The sequence below is a fragment of the Homo sapiens genome, chromosome 2, assembly GCF_000001405.40.
Source record: "Homo sapiens chromosome 2, GRCh38.p14 Primary Assembly".
NCBI classification, from domain to species: Eukaryota; Metazoa; Chordata; class Mammalia; order Primates; family Hominidae; genus Homo; species Homo sapiens.
In genome coordinates this window covers 3817759-3839572 of record NC_000002.12, presented here as the reverse complement: position 1 = coordinate 3839572, position 21814 = coordinate 3817759, and the positions used below count along the sequence as shown (strand labels likewise).

The following is a 21814-nucleotide window of genomic DNA, read 5'->3' as shown; positions in this document are numbered from 1 at the left end:
AGGCCACCAAGAATCAGACTTAACGATAACAGCTGGATGAGGTCAGAAAAACCACTGCCTTTCTCCACAAAGAATTTCCTCAATTGTACATTTTAAAGTATTATGTGATTTGAATATTATGTAAGTACCGTATTCAATACTCGGTTTAAAACCTAGTTTTTATTTTCATTTATTTTTGTAGCTGCCAGAAGCCCCAGCAGCTGCTAGTTATGAATTAAGATGTCAGGCTCAAATTTGTGAAAATAAATCCAATGTTTTGGTTGAAGGTATAATTAGTTTGTGAAAAGTTAGAAACCCGGAGATAGATAGCATTTAATTTCTGTATTTGGTAACTATTACCTAGGCAACTGATTTCTCTGTGGGTTAGAACGTTTTTAAATAAATCAGCAAAGACCTTACCAAGTCCTTACAGGGAACTGCAAGTTACATCAAAAAGTAGTTTGAATTCACAAAATCTCTGATGGTGGCTTGAAGGCTTTCCTGTCCCCCTGTGGCCCTAGATTAACAGGTTAACCTAATAATCTCTCTTGCAACCACTGTAGTTTTTTATTCTTAAAATATAAAAATAATTTTATTTTCTGTATTCAAACATGCTCATCATAGAAAATCTGAAAAACAGAGCAAAACCAAAAAACAGAAATAAATATAAATCATAAACCCACCATTTGATATAAGTTGCAACCTAAATAAGTCTAGCAATAGGGAATAAGAACTTAGTTCTAATTTTGTAGCCTTGGGACAAACTTCTAGAAGTGGATAGCTGGTTCAAAAGGCATACATGTTTTTCAGACTTCTAAGACATACTTCAGAGTGTGACTCTCCTGAGGACACAGCCCCACAGTACCCTCTCAAATGATGTCTTTCTCTTCCACACGCTTGAACCACCAGCCACGGAAGTGGGTAGGGGCCGTTCTTGCACCCACCACTGTCTCCAGATCTTTACCCCATCCTCCTCCCTAAAACCCTTCAGCCTCTTTGAAGTTCCTGTCATCAGATTGTACCATCCATCCCCCTTTCTTCTGAGTAGTTGTCTACTGAGCTTCAGGCCACACCTCCTACTCTTAGCCCATGTCAGCCTTTGGTGTTTGGTCTCTCTCTCTCTCTCTCTCTCTCTCTCTCTGTCATGATCCTTGGGGACCACAACAGTTACTCAATACAAAACTTCTAATTGTGGTTTCTCAGTGCCTTGGCCTCATCATATCTGATGATCCTGCTCCTTACCACAGACCATACCCTAGACCCTGCGATTACCAGGAATTCTGACCCACCTCATTCCAACCTCCCGTCTTTACAGCCCTCTCCCTCTAATGCCCCGCTCCAATTCTCCTACCTCATCAGCACCTCTATGCCACCAGCCCTGCCACCATTTCACCCTCCCACCCCTGACTTGTCCACATCCTCCTTTACCAACTCTGGAGCCACTGCCTGCCCCGGACATGCCTTCCACTCGCGATCACCACCTTCAAGGGCTCCTTAGTGCCACGACATAACCCCAGGTTATTTCTCCAGTTCTTTCAGTAGCTCACTCTTCCAAGTAACTATTTCTTGTTTCCTTTTTCTTTAAAGCTCCACCTCCCCACTCCACACTCATAGTTCATGGCCCTGCCTCTGTGTATGAAAATAAGAGCACTCAGAAAAGACGTCCACAGGCCCTACCCCACACTTCCTCACCTCCCGGGATATGTGTCCGCATCCTCTGCCCTCTCCTGTGCTACTCTGGAGGGGCTGTCCTGTTCCTGCATAGGACCAACCCTCCCACCACGCACGGACTCCACACGGCTGGCCGGCTGAGGAAGGTCCACCCAGCAGTTATCGCCTCTCTTGATACTCAAAGAATCATCCAGCCCAAAATTTCAATGGTGTTGCGCTTGAGAAACCCTGGTCTAGCAAAATTGTTGCTAGACTAGGTATGTAGGTGTGACAGAAAGGGGGAGCCAAAGGCTGATTTCTTCCTCAGTTTCTTCCCCTTTAGATGAGAACAGACGTGCTGTAATAGCCACAACTCCTCAAAAAGAACCCAGCCTTCACCATGGGCCCCCCACCCCCAGAAAGAACCTAGCCTTGACCATGTGCACCTATAGCCACTGCCCCAGTGTGTGCTCCCCTACAGCCTAGTTCCCTCCGAGTGTCCCCTGTGCCTGGCGTCTCCATTCCCACTACTTCCATTCTTTGGATCAGCTCCTATCAGGCTCATGCTCATCTTTCTACAGGAAACATCTGTTGTTAGGCTATGAATGACTTCCATTTGGCCAAATACAAGCCGGTTCTCAGCTCTCACTTTGCCTGATCAGCAAAATTCAACTCGATTGATTGAGTTCTCTGATTGCTCTAATGCCACTCCTTAGCAGATTTAGCAAAACTCCGAATACCGTTTTCACCTGAAGAGGCCCTTAAGAGATTGGCCAGTGTACTTGTGTTCCTACTGAGCTCCATGGTGCCCTCATGTTCCTCAGAAGCGTCTCAGGGGTCCAGCAGGAGGGCCCCAAAGAGACGGAAAGGAAGGCTGAAGGATTCCAACCAAACAATTCCTTTTTCCTCCGCTCTGTAGACAGCAGGTCCTTAATTATATTCCACTTGGGGAAAAAGGAGTTCTGGTCCTCCTTTTAACGTTTTACTTTGAAATAATTTTAGATTTATAAGATAGTACAGTATTACAAGATAGTTGCAAAGATAGTACAGAGAAGACCAGTGTACTCTTTTTTTTTTTTTTTGAGACGGAGTCTCGCTCTGTCGCCCAGGCTGGAGTGCAGTGGCGCGATCTCGGCTCACTGCAAGCTCCGCCTCCCGGGTTCACGTCATTCTCCTGCCTCAGCCTCCCGAGTAGCTGGGACTACAGGTGCCCGCCACCGTGCCCGGCTAATTTTGTGTATTTTTAGTCAAGACAGGGTTTCACCCTGTTAGCCAGGATGTTCTCAATCTCCTGACCTTGTGGTCCACCCACCTCGGCCTCCGAAAGTGCTGGGATTACAGGCGTGAGCCACCGCGCCCCGCCGACCAGTGTACTCTTTAAGCAGCTTCCCCTGATGCTAACACCTTACAAAATCATGGTACTTTATCAAAACCAAAATTAGCATTTGTGTGATACTATTTAACTGTTAATACTATTTAACAGACTTTATTTGGATTTCCCCCGAACTAACGTGTGTTTGCTGCCCCAGGATCCAGTCCAGGACAGCATGCTGCATTTGGTTACTGTGTCTCCTAGTTACCTCCAAACTGTGACAGCTTCTCAGTCTTCCCTTATTTTTCATGGCCTTGATATTTTCAAGGAGTACTGGTTGGGTATTTTGTAAAATGTCCTTCAATTTGGGTATAGCTGATATCGTGTCATAAACAGACTGGAATTATGACTGGAGGGGGACAGTTCCACAGAGATAAAGTGCCTGCATCATACCAAGAGTTATATTACATCTACATTACTTCATCACTGGTGAAATTATCCTTGACCACAGGTGGGTGGCGCTGGTCAGATTTCCCTACCATAATGTTTTCTGATGGTTTCTTTCAAATACTAAAAATCAATGATTTTGGCTGGCCACAGTGGCTTATTCCTGTAAACCCAGCACTTTGGGAGGTCAAGGTAAAAGGATCATGTGAGGCCAGGAGTTCGAGATCAGCCTGGGCAACATAGCAAGACCCTGTCTCTACAAAAATAACAAAAATTAGCCAGCCATGGTGGTGTACACCTGTAGTCCCAGCTGCTTAGGAGGCTAAGGTAGGAGGATCACTTGAGCCCAGGAGTTTGATGCTGCAATGGGCAATGATGGTGCCACTGCACTCCAGCCTGGGTGACAGAGTCAGATGCTGTCTCGAAAAAAAAAAGGATCTTGTCCTTACCTTTTATTTTAATATAAAAAATGAGACTCAAGGCCTCAAATCAATGACCTGCACAGTTTCACTGTGTATTAATCTTAGTGGGACTAAAACCTCGATGGTTTCAGACATCTAGTTCACTGTTACTTCCTTTCACCAAGTAGAAACTCAAATATTCAAAAATGATTAAACCTAGAGACAGATACGGAACAGAAATGCCGCAGGGAACTAGAGATTTCCACGGGAAGTGAGAGTCACGCTCCCATCTGAACACTTCCTCCAGGATGTCGCCTGATGTCATTTATTTCACACAAATGCCCTGATTTTCCCTCTCTCTGACTTTCGAATTTATTGCTTGGTGTTTGTATTCTTCTTTTAAAGGATTTCCATGTTCTTTTATCTCTATTTTTATTGCAAACCACCTCAAATCTCCTTAGCAATAAATAAAAATTGCTTTAATAATTCAAAAAAGAGAAAGAGACTCAAGAACACCACGAGTGGGCTTGGCTGTCCTCTTCACACATTCTTAAAAGTAAGGGAACGCCCCGCATTTCTTAGAAAGATTTTAAAAATTCAACCCAAATCATGCCTGTGTGAGCCTTAGAGTGGCTGGTGTCACAGATGGATTACATGGCAAGTGGAGAAGCACTTCCATTGCCTCTGGGAAGGCAAACTCGTGTATTTATGGGAATAATGGAAGCTTTGGAGCAAGACAAATCTGGATTTAAAACCTACTTTCTAGTTATGTGGCCATGGGAAAGTAATTTACCTCTCTGAGTCTCTCTTAGTTCAAATTTAGAAAACTAATACCTACCATTTCAACAGCAATCCTCACATGAGGATAAAAAGAAAGAATATGAATACGATGCTCAGCACTGTTCCCAGCACATAATATGTGATGCTCCCTCCCTTCCTCAGCCATCCTCACTCCATCCCACTTGATGGACATTTGATGTTCCCCAGGGCCAGACTCTTTTCATTCTGTCCAAGTTATTCACCAATTTATAGATTGCTCCCTCCCCAGCCCCGGCAACTAGTCACTTGCTTAATAGCCCTTTGACATGTTGACAGAGCACTGGAATGGGAATCTTAAATACTAGGTTAAGTTACAGATCTTCATGGAAAACTGAGTGAGCTCACAATGATGCCAACCTCAGTTCCCTCATGTGCAATGCAAGTGACCTCCCAGGTGATCTCTGCATTTCCTCCCACAGACCCTGAGCAGGCAAAGACAATAAAGATATGTGGAGCAGAAAGATGTCTGGAGGAAGTTCCCGCTAAGCGTTTATAGTCTGAAAGGTACACACTGTATGATTCCAACTCTATGACATTCTGGAACCGGTGAAACCATGGAGGTAGTAAAGAGACCCATTGTACAGTGATTACAACAGGTTTGTAGGGGACAAGGGAGTGGATGGGGGGACACGGGATTTTTAGGAGAGTGAAGCTACTCTGCACAACACTATAATGGGGAATGCATGTCATTATACATTTGTCCAAACTTGTAGAATGTGGAACACCAAGAGAGAGCCCTAATGTGAACTGTGGACTCGGGTGATGATGATGTGAGGGGTCAGTGTTGGTTCATCAGTTGTAACAAATGTACCACTCTGGTAGGAGATGCTGACAGCAGGGGAGGCTTGGGCCAGGGATGGAGGTAGGGGGGGCAGGAGGGGGAGTAAACAGGAAATCTCTGTACTTTTTGCTCAATTTTTCTATAAAACTAAAACTGCTCCGAAACATAAAGACTATTTTAAAAACAAATAGAAAATAAAGAGAGATCAGACTCTTTCAAACATTCTGTACTCAAAATCGGTGTTGTCACATAGGAGCAAACCCTGAAAAGATAGAGAAGACTGCTACTTATCTCCACTCCTTAAAGCTAACAGACTACAGCCAAGCAATGATGCCTTATGATAGGAAAGAGCTTCTGAACATCTAACCTCAGCTCTCTTCTGCAACTTACTATGTTTCTTTTTATTAAAACCTTCAATATACATTTCATTTATTTTCATTAGTCCTAATGATAAAGAAGTATTTAAGTAAGCTAGACCTCCTACATGGCTGGATAAGCTTTATGTTCATCTTTTGGCTGCAGTAACATTTCTAAATTGAGCTGATAATCAATACATAGTCTCAGTTTGGGTACACTTCCAAAGGACCTTATGCTAGACATGCTCATAAAATGAGGCTTAAAAGGTGAGCCAATATTTTGAAAGACAAGCTCTGAGCCCTGAAAGGCTGACACAATGGCAATGGAAATGGTATATGGCACACAGCACACAAAACGTGTAGGACAAAATGTGTCAGACGCAAATGAAAGACCTACTTGTGTCCAAAACCTCAATTTATGTGACTACAAGATACAGAAGCTTAGCACATATAAGACTCAGTGGGTAAGGTAGGCAGAATAACGGCCCCCAAAGATGATGACATCCTAAGCCCAGAACCTGTGACTATGTTAGGGTGCATGGCAAAGGGGAATCAGGTTGCAGTGAAATTAAGGCTGCTAATAAAGAGGGCGAGTATACTGGATCATCCAGAGTGCCCAACATAATCACAAGGATCCTTAAAAGTGGACGAGGAAGACAGAAGAGAAGAGCCAGAGGGCAACGTGATGGCAAAAGAATGCTCAGAGGGATGCAGGGTTACTGCCTTTGAAGACAGAGGAAGGGCCCACAAGCCAAAGGATGTGGATGGCCTACAGAGGCTGGAAAAGGCAAAGAAACAGATTCTCCCCAGAGCCTCCAGAAAGGAATGCAGCCAAGCCAGCAACTTGGCTTTAGTCCAATGAGACCCGTGTTGAATTTCTGACCTACAGAACTGTAAATCATAACCTTGTGCTGTTTTAAGCCACTAAATTCATGGTAATTTGCCACAGTAGCCATTGGAAATTAATAAAAGCACTCCTGCCATCTCCAACGTCCTCTGGGGAAGTGCAGTATAGGGAGGTATACACTAGACATTGGGGGAGAGAAACTGCATGGCTCACTCTCACCTTGAGCCCTGCGCTCAGTGCTGGGGCCACACCATCAGAGGCATTTAAATAAATGTGAAGAAAATGACTACAAATCAGGCCATATGCCTAATATTGGAGGGACTCGGGTGTTTGACTTGGTTTGGAGAAGAGAAGACTCAAGCGGAACATAAAAGCTCTCTTCAAATACAAGATGGATCTGCCCTAATGGAAACGAAGCTTTGATAGGAAGAGTGGCAGAGCAGCCAGCTTCACTGTGTATGGCCTCGAGCGGCTTTAGTTCTATGTTATCAACAATCTCAGAGCACCCAACACTCTCCTACAAACACAAAGGTTGCTTCAAGGAAGAATGAAGCAGTGGGACCACCTATCTGAAGAGAAAGTGCAAAGGAGACGGGTAGATTGGCTACAGGATCTTGATGGTTCTTTCTTAGTCTGAATTTCAATCAGGTGATAAGCTATTTATTATTCCTTTATTCACACTGACAAAAACATATTGGAGTCTACTTTTGAATGGAATGAAAACTTGTGCTATAGGTGATTTTTCCTATGAAATTTGCTGGGAAATTCAACACAAATGTATGGTGAAAACAGACAAGAATACTTTCTGAAACCATTTAGTGTTGGCAGATGTTTTGATTTCGATATTGTTTGACATACAGTAACCATCCAACGTCAAAGAGATGCACAATCGAAATCAGGTGTGCAGAGGGGACTGGAAATTACATTAGGACCCAGATGAAGATACACAAGTAGAAAGAGCCCCTCGCCATGCCAGGAGACACTGATTCCTGCACATGACGCAACAGAACCGACATAGGGAACTCAAGGAAAGTCCAGAAGAGGAAAGTGAAGAAGGCAGGGCTACCTTCCATTCGCGCATGGTTTTCATTTTCAGCCTTTAGATCCCTTTTCTCATTCAACATCACAACACTGCCATGTGCAGTTCCTTTTGTAGATGAGGGAAATAACATTCAGAGAGGCGGAGCGCTCTGCCTTAGACATCACAGATGTCAAGCAGGAAGGGCTGGTGTTTGATCCGAGGACTCTGACTTCTACACGTTCCACCACACACATGGCTGAATTCAATTAGGCAAGTTTGTTTGGGTGCTGAGTTCCTCTGATTAACATTTTGCTTCTCCTCTTTCCATTTTCAAGCATTCTTAAATGATTTTTTAAACACTGTCATATGCAGCATAATGATGTTTCCATCAACAAAAGGCCACATGTCCAATGGTGGTTCCTTAAAATTATAATACCATATTTGATTGTATCTTTTCTATGATTAGATATGTTCAGATGCACAAATACTCACCACTGCGTTACAGTTGCCGATGTTATTCAGTACGGTCATTTACTGTACAGGTTTGCAGTCTGGGCAATAGGCAATAGGCTACACCACATAGCCGAGGTGTGCAGTAGGCTGTGCCATCGAGGTTTGTGCACGTCGCTCTCTGACGTTTGCACAAGGGCAGAATCATCTAAAGGAGCATTTCTCAGAACACACCCCATCATTGAGCAATGCACAGCTGTAAGTACATGTTAAAATCCTCTTGGCAATTTTAATGCATCCAGTGACAACTTCTTTAGGATCATTTGGAAGAGGGCTGTCTACAAATAGGAGAAAACCACCCCAAGTTTTTACGGCTGCCAGGAAGGCAAAGGAAATGTTCCTTCTCGGTGCAGTCATATGTCCAAAGCACACGATCTTTGATCACTACTGAGGAAAGTCGCCAAGTAAATCCTACTCGGAATTGCTCAGAAACAATTTTACAAAACTCAAAAGATCATTTTATCAGGCTGAAATTATCCACCCCAAGAGACTGAAGAAAGGCTGTGTTTAAATCAAATGCCATACAGGAAGTGAGTGAGTTCGGCCAACAAAGAAAGAAATAGAAATTTGAGATTCTCAGAAAAGAGTTACATTTAGTAGTAAGCAAAGTATCTGAGGCAAAGAAAAATGTAGTGAACACTCTTCTAGAATTGTTTGGATCTTGTTCTGTCTGAAGGCGAAGAGTCTGTATTCAGAGTTCAAACAACCACCCACCGTGAGTCAAGGTCAATCCCACCACAGAGCCCAAATGGACCACTAAGCCTCTGGTCCCATGGCTCCCCTTTAACCTGCCCAGCCACATGGAGTGGGGTCGCGACTACGGGGTGCAGCTTCCTGCTCATGCCCATCAGGCTCAAGAAGACAAGAGGAAGGGCTGAACCTGTGTGGAGTTCACAAATTTCCCAAGAGCTGGAACCAAGAAGGAGCATCTAATTCCTTGGCCTCATCTTACCAATGAGGACATGGGGCCCCTGCAATGGGCCTGAGTGGATACAGCCCCTCGACAGCAGGTCCAGGGCTACTGGCAGGTCTTGTGGATGCAGGCCCAGTGCTTGCTCTCCTCTGCACCACACTGCAGTACTAGGCATCATTTTACACCTAAGCAAAAGATCACAGAACATCACTAATGGATGAACAAAAAAAAAAACCTCCAATAAAAGCACTCGTTATTTCCAGGATCACAAGAAATACCAAGTGGCTAGGTTGTCACCTACCAAATATTTGGGAAACTGCAGAGATGCATTTAGGTAAGCTGATTGATATGTAAGCACAAACATCAGGGCCTGAACCACCAAGCAAACATTAACCATTGGGTTTTCTGTCAGCTCTCCTTATCCTTGGGTAAAATAAGATGCATATTCAGTGAAATAATTTTCTGCACGGCCAACATCCTTATCTACAGCCCAGGGCTGCCCTCCCAGCCTATATGGCACTAACATTCAGATGCCCTGACGGCTTCTTCACAGAGGGCAGCCACTTCCATTCCACAACAGAAGCTAAGACTTAGAGCGGCAAGCTTCAGAAGCTGACACTGACTTAATTTCACATTATGTGTCAATAACTGATAACAGCCATCAAAAGCAGAGGTTTTATCCACCAGCCACCTAATAGGAAGAGGAAAAGCAGGGACGAAAGGATTCTGTGAGTGGTGAGAGAGAACCGAAGGCCCCGAAACCCAGAGATTTTCTACTCTGCTTGGGGTGGTCTTAACGAAAATCATAAAAACAGCAGGGAAAATGAGCAGAAGCCTGGTTCAGGGGAGTAAATCTCTGTAGCTTTACCCAAAGATATTAAGAAAGAATTAAAAAATAAACCATTGTGATTAATTTTGCTTGGAGCAGGCTGTTATCACAAGTCAAAAGAGGCTGTCCAAATAGACAGGAAAAGATTATAGGAACCGCGCAGCACGACCAGGATGTGCTTTTGAACTGGGAACATGTGATCAAAAAGGCAGGTCGGGCAGGCAACTGTGTGCTCCACTCTCCACGAGGGCCTGCCCTGCCTGCTAAACTCTGTCACCAAGTGCCAGTAGCTTTTTGAATGACAATCAATAACAGTTCCTCACAGAGCCAAGCTAATTTATGATCATAAAATGTTAAAAATTCATTTTTAACCATTCCTTAGTTGCCAGATTGACTAAAATCAATGCAAAAAAAAAAAAAAAAGAAAAAGACATCTAATGAAGCCTTACGGAATGAGAATCCAGCCTGAAAATGCTATGCATCCGGATTCTCAGGCTCACAGCACACAAAGAAACTGAGAAGAAGCGGTGAAGCGGTTGCGTTGCACACACACTGCAAAAGAAGGAGGTTTCTAAAGCCAGCATCACAGGCCCTGTGCAGCGTGACCGTGCGTTCCTGTGCCGGGGCCACTGGAAGTGTGAACACTTCGAAGCAAAGTAAAGCAGACTGAAAAATGATAGTGAAAATAATTGGTATTTTTTGGTTTCTTGTGTCCCCTCTTTTTGAATACCCCTCCGCTTCCTAATTCTCAAAAACAAACAAAAATAACTTCAACAAAATAGCCAAAAATGATTTCCAGTGAGTAAAAGAAAAACTTACTACTGCCTTGAATTAAACTTCAAGGACTTAACATTGCCTTATTCTCCCAGAAAAATGAAACTTGCAAACTCACAAAATATCAGAAGGCACTGCAATGTTTCGGAAACAAGGTGTTGCAAGTGGCAAGAATTCCAGGACTTTGAAGCACCTGATTCTACAGAATTTGGTAGGATTGATGGCCACTAACAGCCATAAGCATTCAGCAGGAAAGGCAACATGTTTTAAGTGAAGTGTGAAATGGGCTCATTCCCTCCTCCCAAATAAATCTGCCTGCTGGGCCTCAATTTCTGGTGGCCTCAAACTGGCTGATGAACTTCAACAGCCCTGTGTAATGCAGCATAGTGAGAAACGGCTCAGAGACTTTGAAGGCTGTAATTGGACTATGATGCTGTTGGGTAGAGCCCAAAGGGTTGCTGGGCACTTGGAAACAAACTAGTGAGCTTATAAAATAACTCACTGTCACCTCCCCAGGCTGCCCAGAGCTGACATGATGAGGCAAGCCCACAGAGAGAGGGCAGCCCCGGGTGAGCGGCACCCGCCCTGCACCCAGCACACCACTTTCCTGGCCATGGAGTGTAGGTAGGAAGAGGAGGCAATCTGCTTCAATTTCTGCTGTTTCTATTGTCACCTTTGTCACCAAGCACAAGACAGGTAATCACTGTATTGAGAATAACCATCTGGCAAGGTTGTTACCGTGAAAATAAAAATCAAAAGGAAATGTCTACAAAGGCAGTTTATAATCCACACATATTTTTAAATTATTATGGCAGATGGTTCCATGTATGTTTTATAAACTGAAGGCTCAATAAAAGTCTGCAGACTTTCATGTGATTTTTGAAAGTACTCAGAATTTTGACTTGAAAGGGCAGAGGAAGGGCTGAAAGGAGAAAAGAGGTACAGTTTGCCCACTGATATTTTTTTCTGGGGCAAATTGTCACCTGAAGAGCATCCTTCAGTTAAAAATCAAGTAACAAAAAGAGAAGAGACCCACATTCTAAAACTGGATGGACACCCATCAGACTTATTGGTTATGCCCAATGGGTTCTTTTCTGGTCACTAGGTGGCGATCTGGGGCCCAAATGCACTTCTGCTCCAATGTGGTGAAAATAGCATCTTTATATTTTAATATCTAGGGGAACCACTTTTCTTGAAAGCAGAAAAAGCTTCTCTGATAATCTAGTTGGCATTTATCACACTGAATGATGTCTTTTCTCTTAAGTTACCAGCAAGAGGAGAAAATCAGAAGGTAAACATTCCCCAGGATTCAATGGAAAGTATATTTCCCCAACATTCAAAACAAATTGTTGAAAGATGTTGACTGAAGTAATATCAACAATTAAAATGAAATTTTGAAGCTGAAACCCCAATTAGCATAATGTATGATGGGTCCCAAGTAAGCCAGGGTTACTCCACCTTTTTCTCCCAGTCCACAGAAGAGAACAGCATGAAGATCACCACCCAGAGAGCTCTCACTCCAGCTTGGGACCTGAGAACCACCTGACCCTCTTGTGTTCCTGTCTCCCCGGTCCCAGGCTGCTGCTTCCAACACACCAAGTGGACCCCCACCCCCATCCCTGCCCCTGCTGCCTCCCCTTCCACGTGGCTTTGCCTTTTGGTGTCCAACAAGGCCCAGATGTCCTCCACTCCATATGTAGCCTTCAGGCAGCTCTGAGAGGATCTCTTCCCCTTCCAGCCTCCCCTCAGGGTTAATTTAATCTGATTTTAATCAAGTCTGAATTCTAAGAGATGTCAACCACTGTGATGGGTGATGGGCTGGGGTGTGGCTTGTCTGCCTCCCCGTGAGCTAGCAGAGCTCCTCTCAACCTCTCCTTTGGTCAAGACTCCTTCTATATTTGTCTTCAAGAGGAAGAACATTCAGGTCCTCACACATAGGTCCACTTAATAAACAATTGGAGGGAGGAAGGGAAGAAGAGAGGGAGGGAGGCAGGGAAGGGAGGGAGGCAGGGGAGGGAGGGATGGAGGGACGGAGAGAGGGAAGGAGGGAGGAAGGCCACAGAGATGCAATGCACATGGCATTAGGTAATCCTTACTATCAGGTAATCTCATAGGACATATTATCTCATAGGATCTTAATTACCATACTTTTTAATGGGGGCTGCAGGTGCTTTATTTGGGGGACTAAATCACATCCAAGGAGATAAAGATCTTAGACACCACGCAAAGCTGTGGAAGGAGCTGTTGGGATTTCCATTCCTACCCACAGAGAGGGGACCTTCGAACCTCAGAAGATGCAGCCTGTCAGCGAGTGCCAGCTAGCACGCTTCAAGATCAGCAATGTGGGAAATGACCTGTGACCTCGTGGGGCAGGGTACCCCCTTCTCTATGCCTCAGTTTCCTCATTTATAAAATATCTGACATACATAATTTAAAAAAAAAAGCTAATACCTACAAAAGATTTTTACAATTTGCAAAGCACTTTCCCAAGCATTATATCAATTAATACTGTGATATATCATTTTTCTTCTCTTTATGGCTAATATGTTACACCAGAAAGTCATATACATGAAAACTCTTTATAAACTGATTTTAAAACTATAATTGGAAAAAGAATTATGGTAACAAATAAAGAGCCATGAAAAACTTTAAAAATTTGTATCTGGTGATATTATTATGGGGTTTTTAATGGGGAGCAAGGAGGAGGTGGTGGATGGAAAGGAAGATCTTTTCCCTACTGAGTGTTCTCTGCATATTTTAAACTATATTTAGCCTACATTATGCCAGCTGTTTACAAGAGGATCTTACAAGTATTTTCATCCATGGCTGGGTTATTACAGAATATATAAATTTCTATTTCTTTGACATATCTTTTTTCTTTGTGGTGTGTCTTAAGGGCAACTTTTTCTTAAAAGACCCTCGTGAATTGTTTTCCTGAAACAGAAACCATCAGTGTTAGCAGCTGAAACTCTTTTCTCTGAACAATAAACAAGAGTCCTCAGGACACGAAGGCTCAGCTACTGCTGGATCCTGAGGCATGAGATTTATAGCAAAGGTTAGTCCACTGAAGATGTGAATGCACTCAACGATGATTTGCCAAGACACGAGAGCCGGGCTAACCCTAGCAGGCCACCCACCTCTCCTGGCTACAGCAGTGATCAGCTTCATTCTGCCCTGGAAGTCCAGACCCAGATATATGAAGCCCCCAGGATCCCCACTGTCTAAATAAGCTCTGCTAGTCAACCTTCAGCCTCCATCCCAGGTTGTTGAACTCAAATCAGGGCAGTGCCATGACCACACTGGAGACCAGGAGCTACAGACCCGTTTCATACTAATCCCCATGGGTCACTGCAAGCTCTCCACTGCCATCCTGTCTCCCTAAACATTTTCCATATCAAAAATGACCCAGCTTTAACTTGGAAAGAAAACTACTGTAATGACAAGCTCCTGCCTTACCAATAAGAAAAAGCCAGACAATCTACAAAATTATAACCCTCTTGAACCCATCAGAGAGTTCAGGTCACAAGGCAACCAATTAGCCTGAAATCTAAAGAAAGATAAATTCCTCCTAGAAGGCACAGGATTCGAGCCTGGCTTCCCTAGGGCAGGGCCTAAGAGAAAGACAAGACTGTGCCAAAGAAAGGCCTAAGAAGATTTCTGCTAAGAGTTTTGGTGCATATAGGTGACTGCAGAAGCTGCAGGTACAGGAGAGCTTGTACTGACTCCCAGGGTATTTTCTGCAGACTTCACCGATTGCTCACAAAAGAGATGAGGGGCTAGGGCAGCAGGTAAGGGAAAGTGTCCCCCATGATGCAAGGCTGGAAAGGAGCCCACTGCCGCAGGAAACCTCAGGGCCCTCCCTAAACCCTCCCACTAGGGGACAAGGCTTTAGCTTCTGAGAGGAAGACAGCAAAACCGGTCACTGCCAGGGAACTGATGAAGACCCACTGTGGCTGGAGAAGGGAACAGAATAAAACCCTCCACTTCTGGGAAAGGGGCAAGAAATCATTCTGGGTCCAGATTTTGATAGGTCCTCTACTGCCAGAGAAGAGGCAGGACCACTGAGAAATCCCCACTTCCAAGACCCAGATACAGAAATCCTGCCTAAACATGAGGCTGAAACAGAAAAAAAGAGAAACCTCAGCAGGCAACAGGCATCCAGTGACAAGTATCAGAAGTCTACAGCTAGGGAAGGGGCAAGAGCACGGAGCAAGACTGCTCTGGGGTCGGGGGGAAGAGAAACCTAGAGCTGAAGGTGGGACAGGAGCAGTGAGAAAACCTGTTGAAGGAAACCAGCCCCAACCCTAAGCAGAAAGTAATGAATTTGAAGCCAGTGGTGCACTGAAGGTAGCCATAACAACAAACCTCAACTAAACTCCTCTCTAGGCTGATTCAAGCCCCCGCAAAAAGGCCTAGCAGAAAAGGAGGTATGCACATTGCATGGCATACAGACTGTTTACCTCAGTCTCTACAGCCTGTGTATCAAATCCAGCCCACCATCTGTTTTCATACGTAATGGTTTATTGGGACACAGTCAAGCCTTTTCATTCAAGATTTGTCTATGTCTGCAATAAAACAGAGTTGAGTAGTTGCAATAGAGTTGGTATAGCCTGTGAAGTCTAAAATACTCCCTCTCTGGCACTTTGCAGAGAAGTTTGCCAATCCCTGCTACATATGATATCAAGCTTTTAACCAAAAGTTTTCAAACACATGAAAAAGAGAAAAAATAACTCACCACCAAATCATACAACAATCAATGGGACCAGATACAGATATGATCCACATCCTGGAACTATCAAATAGGGAATTCTAAATAACTCTAATAAATACATTTGCAACTTCAGACCGGGAGTGAGCAAGCTACAGTCCATGGACTGAATCCAGGCTTCTGTCTGATTCTGTAAATATTTCACTGGAACATGCCATGCCCATGTGTTTACTTATTGTCTATGACTGTTTCCTCACTACAGCAGCACAGCTGATGAGTTGCAACAAAGACCACATGGCACACAGCCTAAAATACTCACCATCTCCCTTCCTGGAAAGCTTTGCCAAATCCTGCTCTAGTGGAAAAGGTGAACACCATGCAGTAACTGCAGACACATAATATAAAGAGAAACAAAGATGAAAATTACAGTTGAATTTGATGAAAATTCAAAAAAATTCAAAAAGATGAAAATTCTCACTTGAAACAATGGAAATCAGAAGTCAATGGGAATAACATTGATAAAGATATAAAAGAAAAAAAACTATCAACACAGAATTCTATATCCATGAAAATATCCTTTATAAATGAAGAAGCCTAACATGAGTCCCAAAATACATGGAGCAAAAACTGACTGAGTTGAGAAAAGAAATAGATAATTCAACATTAACAGTTGGAGAATTCAATACTTTACTTTTAACAACTGGGTAGAAGATAAAGAAATTAAAAACATGAACAACATAAACCAACAAGACATAAGACACTCTACTCTACCCAACAACAGCAGAATGTGTATTCTTCTCAAGTGCATAGAGAACATTACTCAGGATAAACCAAATATTAGGCCATAAAACAAGTCTCAATAAAGGTAAAAGGCTTGAAATTACATGTTCTCTGAACACAACGGAATGACGTTAGAAATCAATAATAGAAGGAAATTGGAAAACTTACAAATATGTGAAAATCTAAAAACATGCTCTTAAATGAAAAAAAAATAGATCAGAGAGGAAACCACAGAAAAATTAGAAAATACTTTGAGATGAATGAAAACTAAAACACAATAAAATTTACAGGATACAACTAGAGCAGTGCTTAGAGGGAAATTGTATTAGTCTGTTTTCATGCTGCTGATAAAGACATACCCAAGACTGGGAGATTTACAAAAGAAAGAAGTTTAATAGACTTACAGTTCCATGTGCCTGGGTAAGCCTCACAATCATGGTGGAAGGCAAGGAGGAACAAGTCACACCTTACACGGATGGCAGCAGGCAAGAGAGTGTGTGCAGGGAAACTCCCACTTATAAAACCATCAGATCTCATGAGACTTACTCACTATCACAAGATCAGCATGGGAAAGACCCACCCCTTATGATTCAATTACCTCCCACCAGGTCCCTGCTACAACACATGAGAATACAAGATGAGATTTGGGTGGGGAAACAGCCAAACGATATTAGAAATGTATAGCTTTAAATGCCATATTAAAAAGGAAGAAAGAGCTCAAATCAGTTACTGAAACTTCCACCTTAAGAAGCTATACAAAAAGGAAAGAGCAAACAAAACTCAAGGCAAGCAGAAGGAAAAAATAATAAAGATTAGAGTGGAAAAAGTAAAATAGAAAATTTTAAAACTAGAGAAAATTCAGTGAAACCAAAAGCTAGATTTTTGGAAAAAAAAAAATCAGCAAAATTGACAAACTTTTAGCTAGACTGATCAAGAAAAAAAGAGAACACTAAAATTGATAAAATCAGAAATGTACAGGGAATAACACTATTGACTTCACAGAAATAAGGTGATTATAAGAGACTACTATAAATAATTGTTTGCCAATGAGTTAAATAACCTACACAAAATTTATAAATTCTTAGAAAGACACAAACTACTGAAAGTAACTCAAGAAGAAACATAAAGTATAAATAAAACTATAACAAGTAAAGAGACTGAATTAGTAATCAAAAAACTTCCCATGAAAACAGAAAAAGCTAAGCACAAATGGCTTCACTTGTGAATTCTACCAAACATTTAAAGAATTAACACACAATGGAATACTATTCAGCCATTAAAAGAATAAAGTACTGATACATGCTACAACATGGAATAACCTTGAAAACATTATGCTGAGTAAGAGAAGACAGACATAAAGGGACACATTATTTGATTCAATTTGTATGGAACACTGATAATAGGCAAATCCACAGATACTGAAGGTCGATTAGTAGACTAGGGGTAGGGAATAAGGAGTGACTGTTAATGGGTACATAGTTTCCCTTTAGGGTGATAAAAATATTCTGAAATTAGAGAGTGGTAATGACCATCCAACTCTGTGAACATAATATAAAGCATTTAATTATACTTCTAAAGGGTCATTTTGATGGCATGTGAATTACAGAGTTACATAAAATTATAAAAATAAAGGAGATTTGATTTCTAAATACCTTTCTTCAATTAAAGGAACCAGGCCTCCTTGGATAAACAGCTGATTCATGAACAAGTGGGGTTTACCCCAGGAATGCAAGTCTGGCTCAACATTTGAAAAATCAATCAATGTAATAATCTGGTATCTCAAGCAACACACTGGAAAAGAAAACCACATGTTATCTTAATAGACGCAGAAAAGCCATTTTACAAAATTCAACATCCATTCATGGTAAAACTCTCAGCAAACCAGGATACAGAGTAACTTTCTCAAGCTAATAAATGGCATCTATAAAAAATGTATATTAATCTATGCATACAAAGTCTGAATGTTTTCCCCTTATGATCAGGAGGAAGTCAAACATGTCTGACATCACCACTCCTACTCAGCATCTCACAGGAGATCATAGCCAGTTCAGTAAAGCATCCACATAGGAAAAAAAAACATAATATGGTCTTGATTTACAGACAACTGTCAGGTCTCTGAGCCCAAGCTAAACCATCATATCCCCTGTGACCTGCACATATACATCCAGATGGCCTGAAGTAACTGCAGAATCTCAAAAGAAGTAAAAATGGCTAGTTCCTGCCTTAACTGATGACATTACCTTGTGAAATTCCTTCTCCTGGCTCAGAAGCTCCCCCACTGAGCACCTTGTGACCCCCGCCCCTGCCCACCAGAGAACAATCCCCTTTGATTGTAATTTTCCACTACCTACCCAAATCCTATAAAACGGCCCCATCCCTATCTCCCTTTGCTGACTCTCTTTTTGGACTCAGCCCGCCTGCAACCAGGTGAAATAAACAGCCTTGTTGCTCACACAAAGCCTGTTTGGTGGACTCTTTACACAGAAGCACATGACATTTGGTCCCAAAACCCAGGACAGGAGGACTCCTTCTGGAGACTGGTCCCCTGTCCTTGCCCTCACTCCATGAGGAGATCTACCTACAACCTCAGGTCCTCAGACCAACCAGCCCAAGGAACATCTCACCAATTTCAAATGAGGTAAGCAGTCTTTTCACTCTCTTCTCCAGCCTCTCTTGCTACCCTTCAATCTCCCTCTCTCCCTACCCTTCAATCTCCCTCTCTTGCTACCCTCCAATCTCCCCGTCCTTCCAATTCCAGTTCTTTTTCCTCTCTAGTAGAGACAAAGGAGACACATTTTATCCGTGGACCCAAAACTCCGGCACCGGTCACGGACTTGGGAAGACAGTCTTCCCTTGGTGTTTAATCACTGTGGGGACACCTGCCTGATTATTCACCCACACTCCATTGGTGTCTGATCACCACGGGGCTGCCTGCCTTGGTCATTCACCCACATTCCCTTGGTGGCAAGTCGATTGCGGGGATGCCTGCTTTCGCTGCTCACTAACCCCCTTCTCCGTGTCTCTACCCTCTCTTTTCTCTGGGCTTGCCTGCTTCATTATGGGCAACTTTCCACCCTCCATTCCCCCTTCTTCTCCCTTAGCCTGTGTTCTCAAAAACTTAAAACCTCTTCAACTCTTGCCTGACCTAAAACTTAAGCGTCTTATTTTCTTCTGCAACACCACTTGGCCCCAATACAAACTCGATAATTGTTCTAAATAGCCAGAAAATGGCACTTCTGATTTCTCCATTTTATAAGACCTGGATGATTTTCGTCAAAAAATGGGCAAATGGTCTGAGGTGCCTGACGTCCAGGCATTCTTTTACACATTGGTCCCACCCTAGTCTCTGCTCCCAATGCAACTCATCCCAAATCTTTCTTCTTTCTCTCCTGTCTGTTCCTTCGGTCTCCACCCCAAGCTCTGAGTCCTTTAAATCCTCCTTTTCTACAGACCCATCTGACCTCTTGCCTCCTCCCCAGGCTGCTCCTCGCCAGGCCTAGCCAGGTTGCAATTCTTCCTCAGCCTCTGCTCCCCCACCCTATAATCCTTCTATCACCTCCCCTTCTCACACCCAGTCTGGCTTACAGTTTCGTCCCGTGACTAGCCCTCCCCCACCTGCCCAACAATTTCCTCTTAAAGAGGTGGCCAGAGCTAAAGGCATAGTCAAGGTTAATGCTCCTTTTTCTTTATCCTATCTCTCCCAAATCAGTAAGCATTTAGACTCTTTTTCATCAAATATAAAAACCCAGCCCAGTTCATGGCTCGTTTGGCAGCAACCCTGAGATGCTTTACAGCCGTAGACCCTGAAAGGTGAGAAGGCTGTCTTATTCTCAATATGCATTTTGTTACCCAATCTGCTCCTGACATTAAATAAAGCTCCAAAAATTAGATTCCGGCCCTCAAACCCCACAACGGGAGTTAATTAACCTCACCTTCAAGGTGTACAATAATAGAGAAGAGTTGCAATTCCTTGCCTCCACTGTGAGAGAAACCCCAGCCACATCTCCAGCACACAAAAACTTTGAAATGTCTAAGCTGCAGTGGTCAAGCATTCCTACAGGACCTTCTCCACCAGGATCTTGCTTCAAGTGCCGGATATCTGGCCACTGGGCCAAGGAATGCCCACAGCCCGGGATTCCTCCTAAGCCACGTCCCATCTGTGCAGGACCCCACTGGAAACTGGACTGTCCAACTCGCCTGGCAGCCACTCCCAGAACCCCTGGAACTCTGGCCCAAGGCTCTCTGACTGACTCTTTCCCAGATCTTGGCTTAGCAGCTGAAGACTGATGCTGTCCGATCACCTAGGAAGCTTCCTGGACCATCACAGACGCTCTGGGTAACTCTTAGAGTGGAGGGTAAGTCCATCACCTTCTTAATCAATACAGAGGCTACCCACTCCACATTACCTTCCTTTCAAGGGCCTGTTTCCCTTGCTTCCATAGCTGTTGTGGCTATTGACAGCCAGGCTTCTAAACCTCTTAAAACTCCACAACTCTGGTGCCAACGTAAACAATATTCTTTTATGCACTCCTTTTTAGTTATCCCCACCTGCCCAGTTCCCTTATTAACTGAAACATTTTAACTAAATTATCTACTTCCCTGACTATTCCTGGGCTACAGCCACACCTCATTGCCACCCTTTTCCCCAGTTCAAAGCCTCCTTCACATTCTCCCCTTGTATCTCCCCACCTTAATCCACAAGTATAAGACACCTCTACTCCCTCCTTGATGACCGATCATGCACCCCTTACCATCCCTTTAAAACCTAATCACCCTTACCCCACTGAACACCAATATCCCATCCCACAGCAAGCTTTAAAAGGATTAAAGCCTGTTACCACTCGCCTATTAACAGCATGGCCTTTTAAAGCCTATATAAACTCTTCTTACAATTCCCCCATTGTACCTGTCCAAAAACTGGACAAGCCTTACATGTTAGTTCAGGATCTGCCCCTTATCAACCAAATTGTCTTGCCTATCCACCCCGTGGTGCCAAAGCCATATACTCTCCTATCCTCAATACCTCCCTCCACAACCCCTCCATAACCCATTATTCTGTTCAGGATCTCAAATATGCTTTCTTTACTATTCCTTTGCACCCTTCATCCCAGCCTCTCTTCGCTTTCACTTGGACAGACCCTGACACCCATCAGGCTCAGCAAATTACCTGGGCTGTACTGCCACAAGGCTTCATGGACAGCCCTCATTACTTCAGTCAAGCCCTTTCTCATAATTTACTTTCTTTCCATCCACCTGCTTCTCATCTTATTAAATATTTTGATGACCTTCTACTTTATAGCCCCTCCTACAAATCTTCCCAACAGGACACCCTCCTGCTCTTCCAACATCTATTCTCAAAAGGATATCTCATATCCCCCTCCAAAGCCCAAATTTCTTCCTCATCCATTATCTATTTTGGCATAATTCTTCATGAAAACACACATGCTCTCCCTGCTGATTGTGTCCGGCTAATCTCCCAAACCCCAACCCCTTCTACAAAACAGCAACTCCTTTCCTTTCTAGGCATGGTTAGGTACTTCCACCTTTGGGTACCTAGTTTTATCACCCTGACTAAACCATTATATAAACTCACAAAAGGAAACCTAGCTGACCCCATAGATCCTAAATCCTTTAGCCACTCCTTTCTGTTCCTTAAAATAGCCCCAAAAGCTGCTCCCACACTAGCT

The 21814-nt window shown here is 43.3% G+C and overlaps 1 protein-coding gene across 6 annotated transcripts in view, besides 1 other annotated feature; it reads right to left on the bottom strand.

Annotated features, from left to right (window-relative positions):
* Positions 1 to 21814, bottom strand: part of DCDC2C (doublecortin domain containing 2C) — a 144434-nt gene that overhangs the window by 8436 nt on the left and 114184 nt on the right. The gene's annotated exons all lie outside the window — the stretch shown is intronic.
* Positions 12716 to 12885: an enhancer, noted in NCBI's record as "experimental_58378 CRE fragment used in MPRA reporter constructs". NCBI's record gives its function as "activates a minimal promoter by MPRAs in K562 erythroleukemia cells, with activity observed for both the introgressed and non-introgressed 2:3874363 variant alleles {active_cell/tissue: K562}" and the evidence as "EXISTENCE:reporter gene assay evidence [ECO:0000049][PMID:34662402]".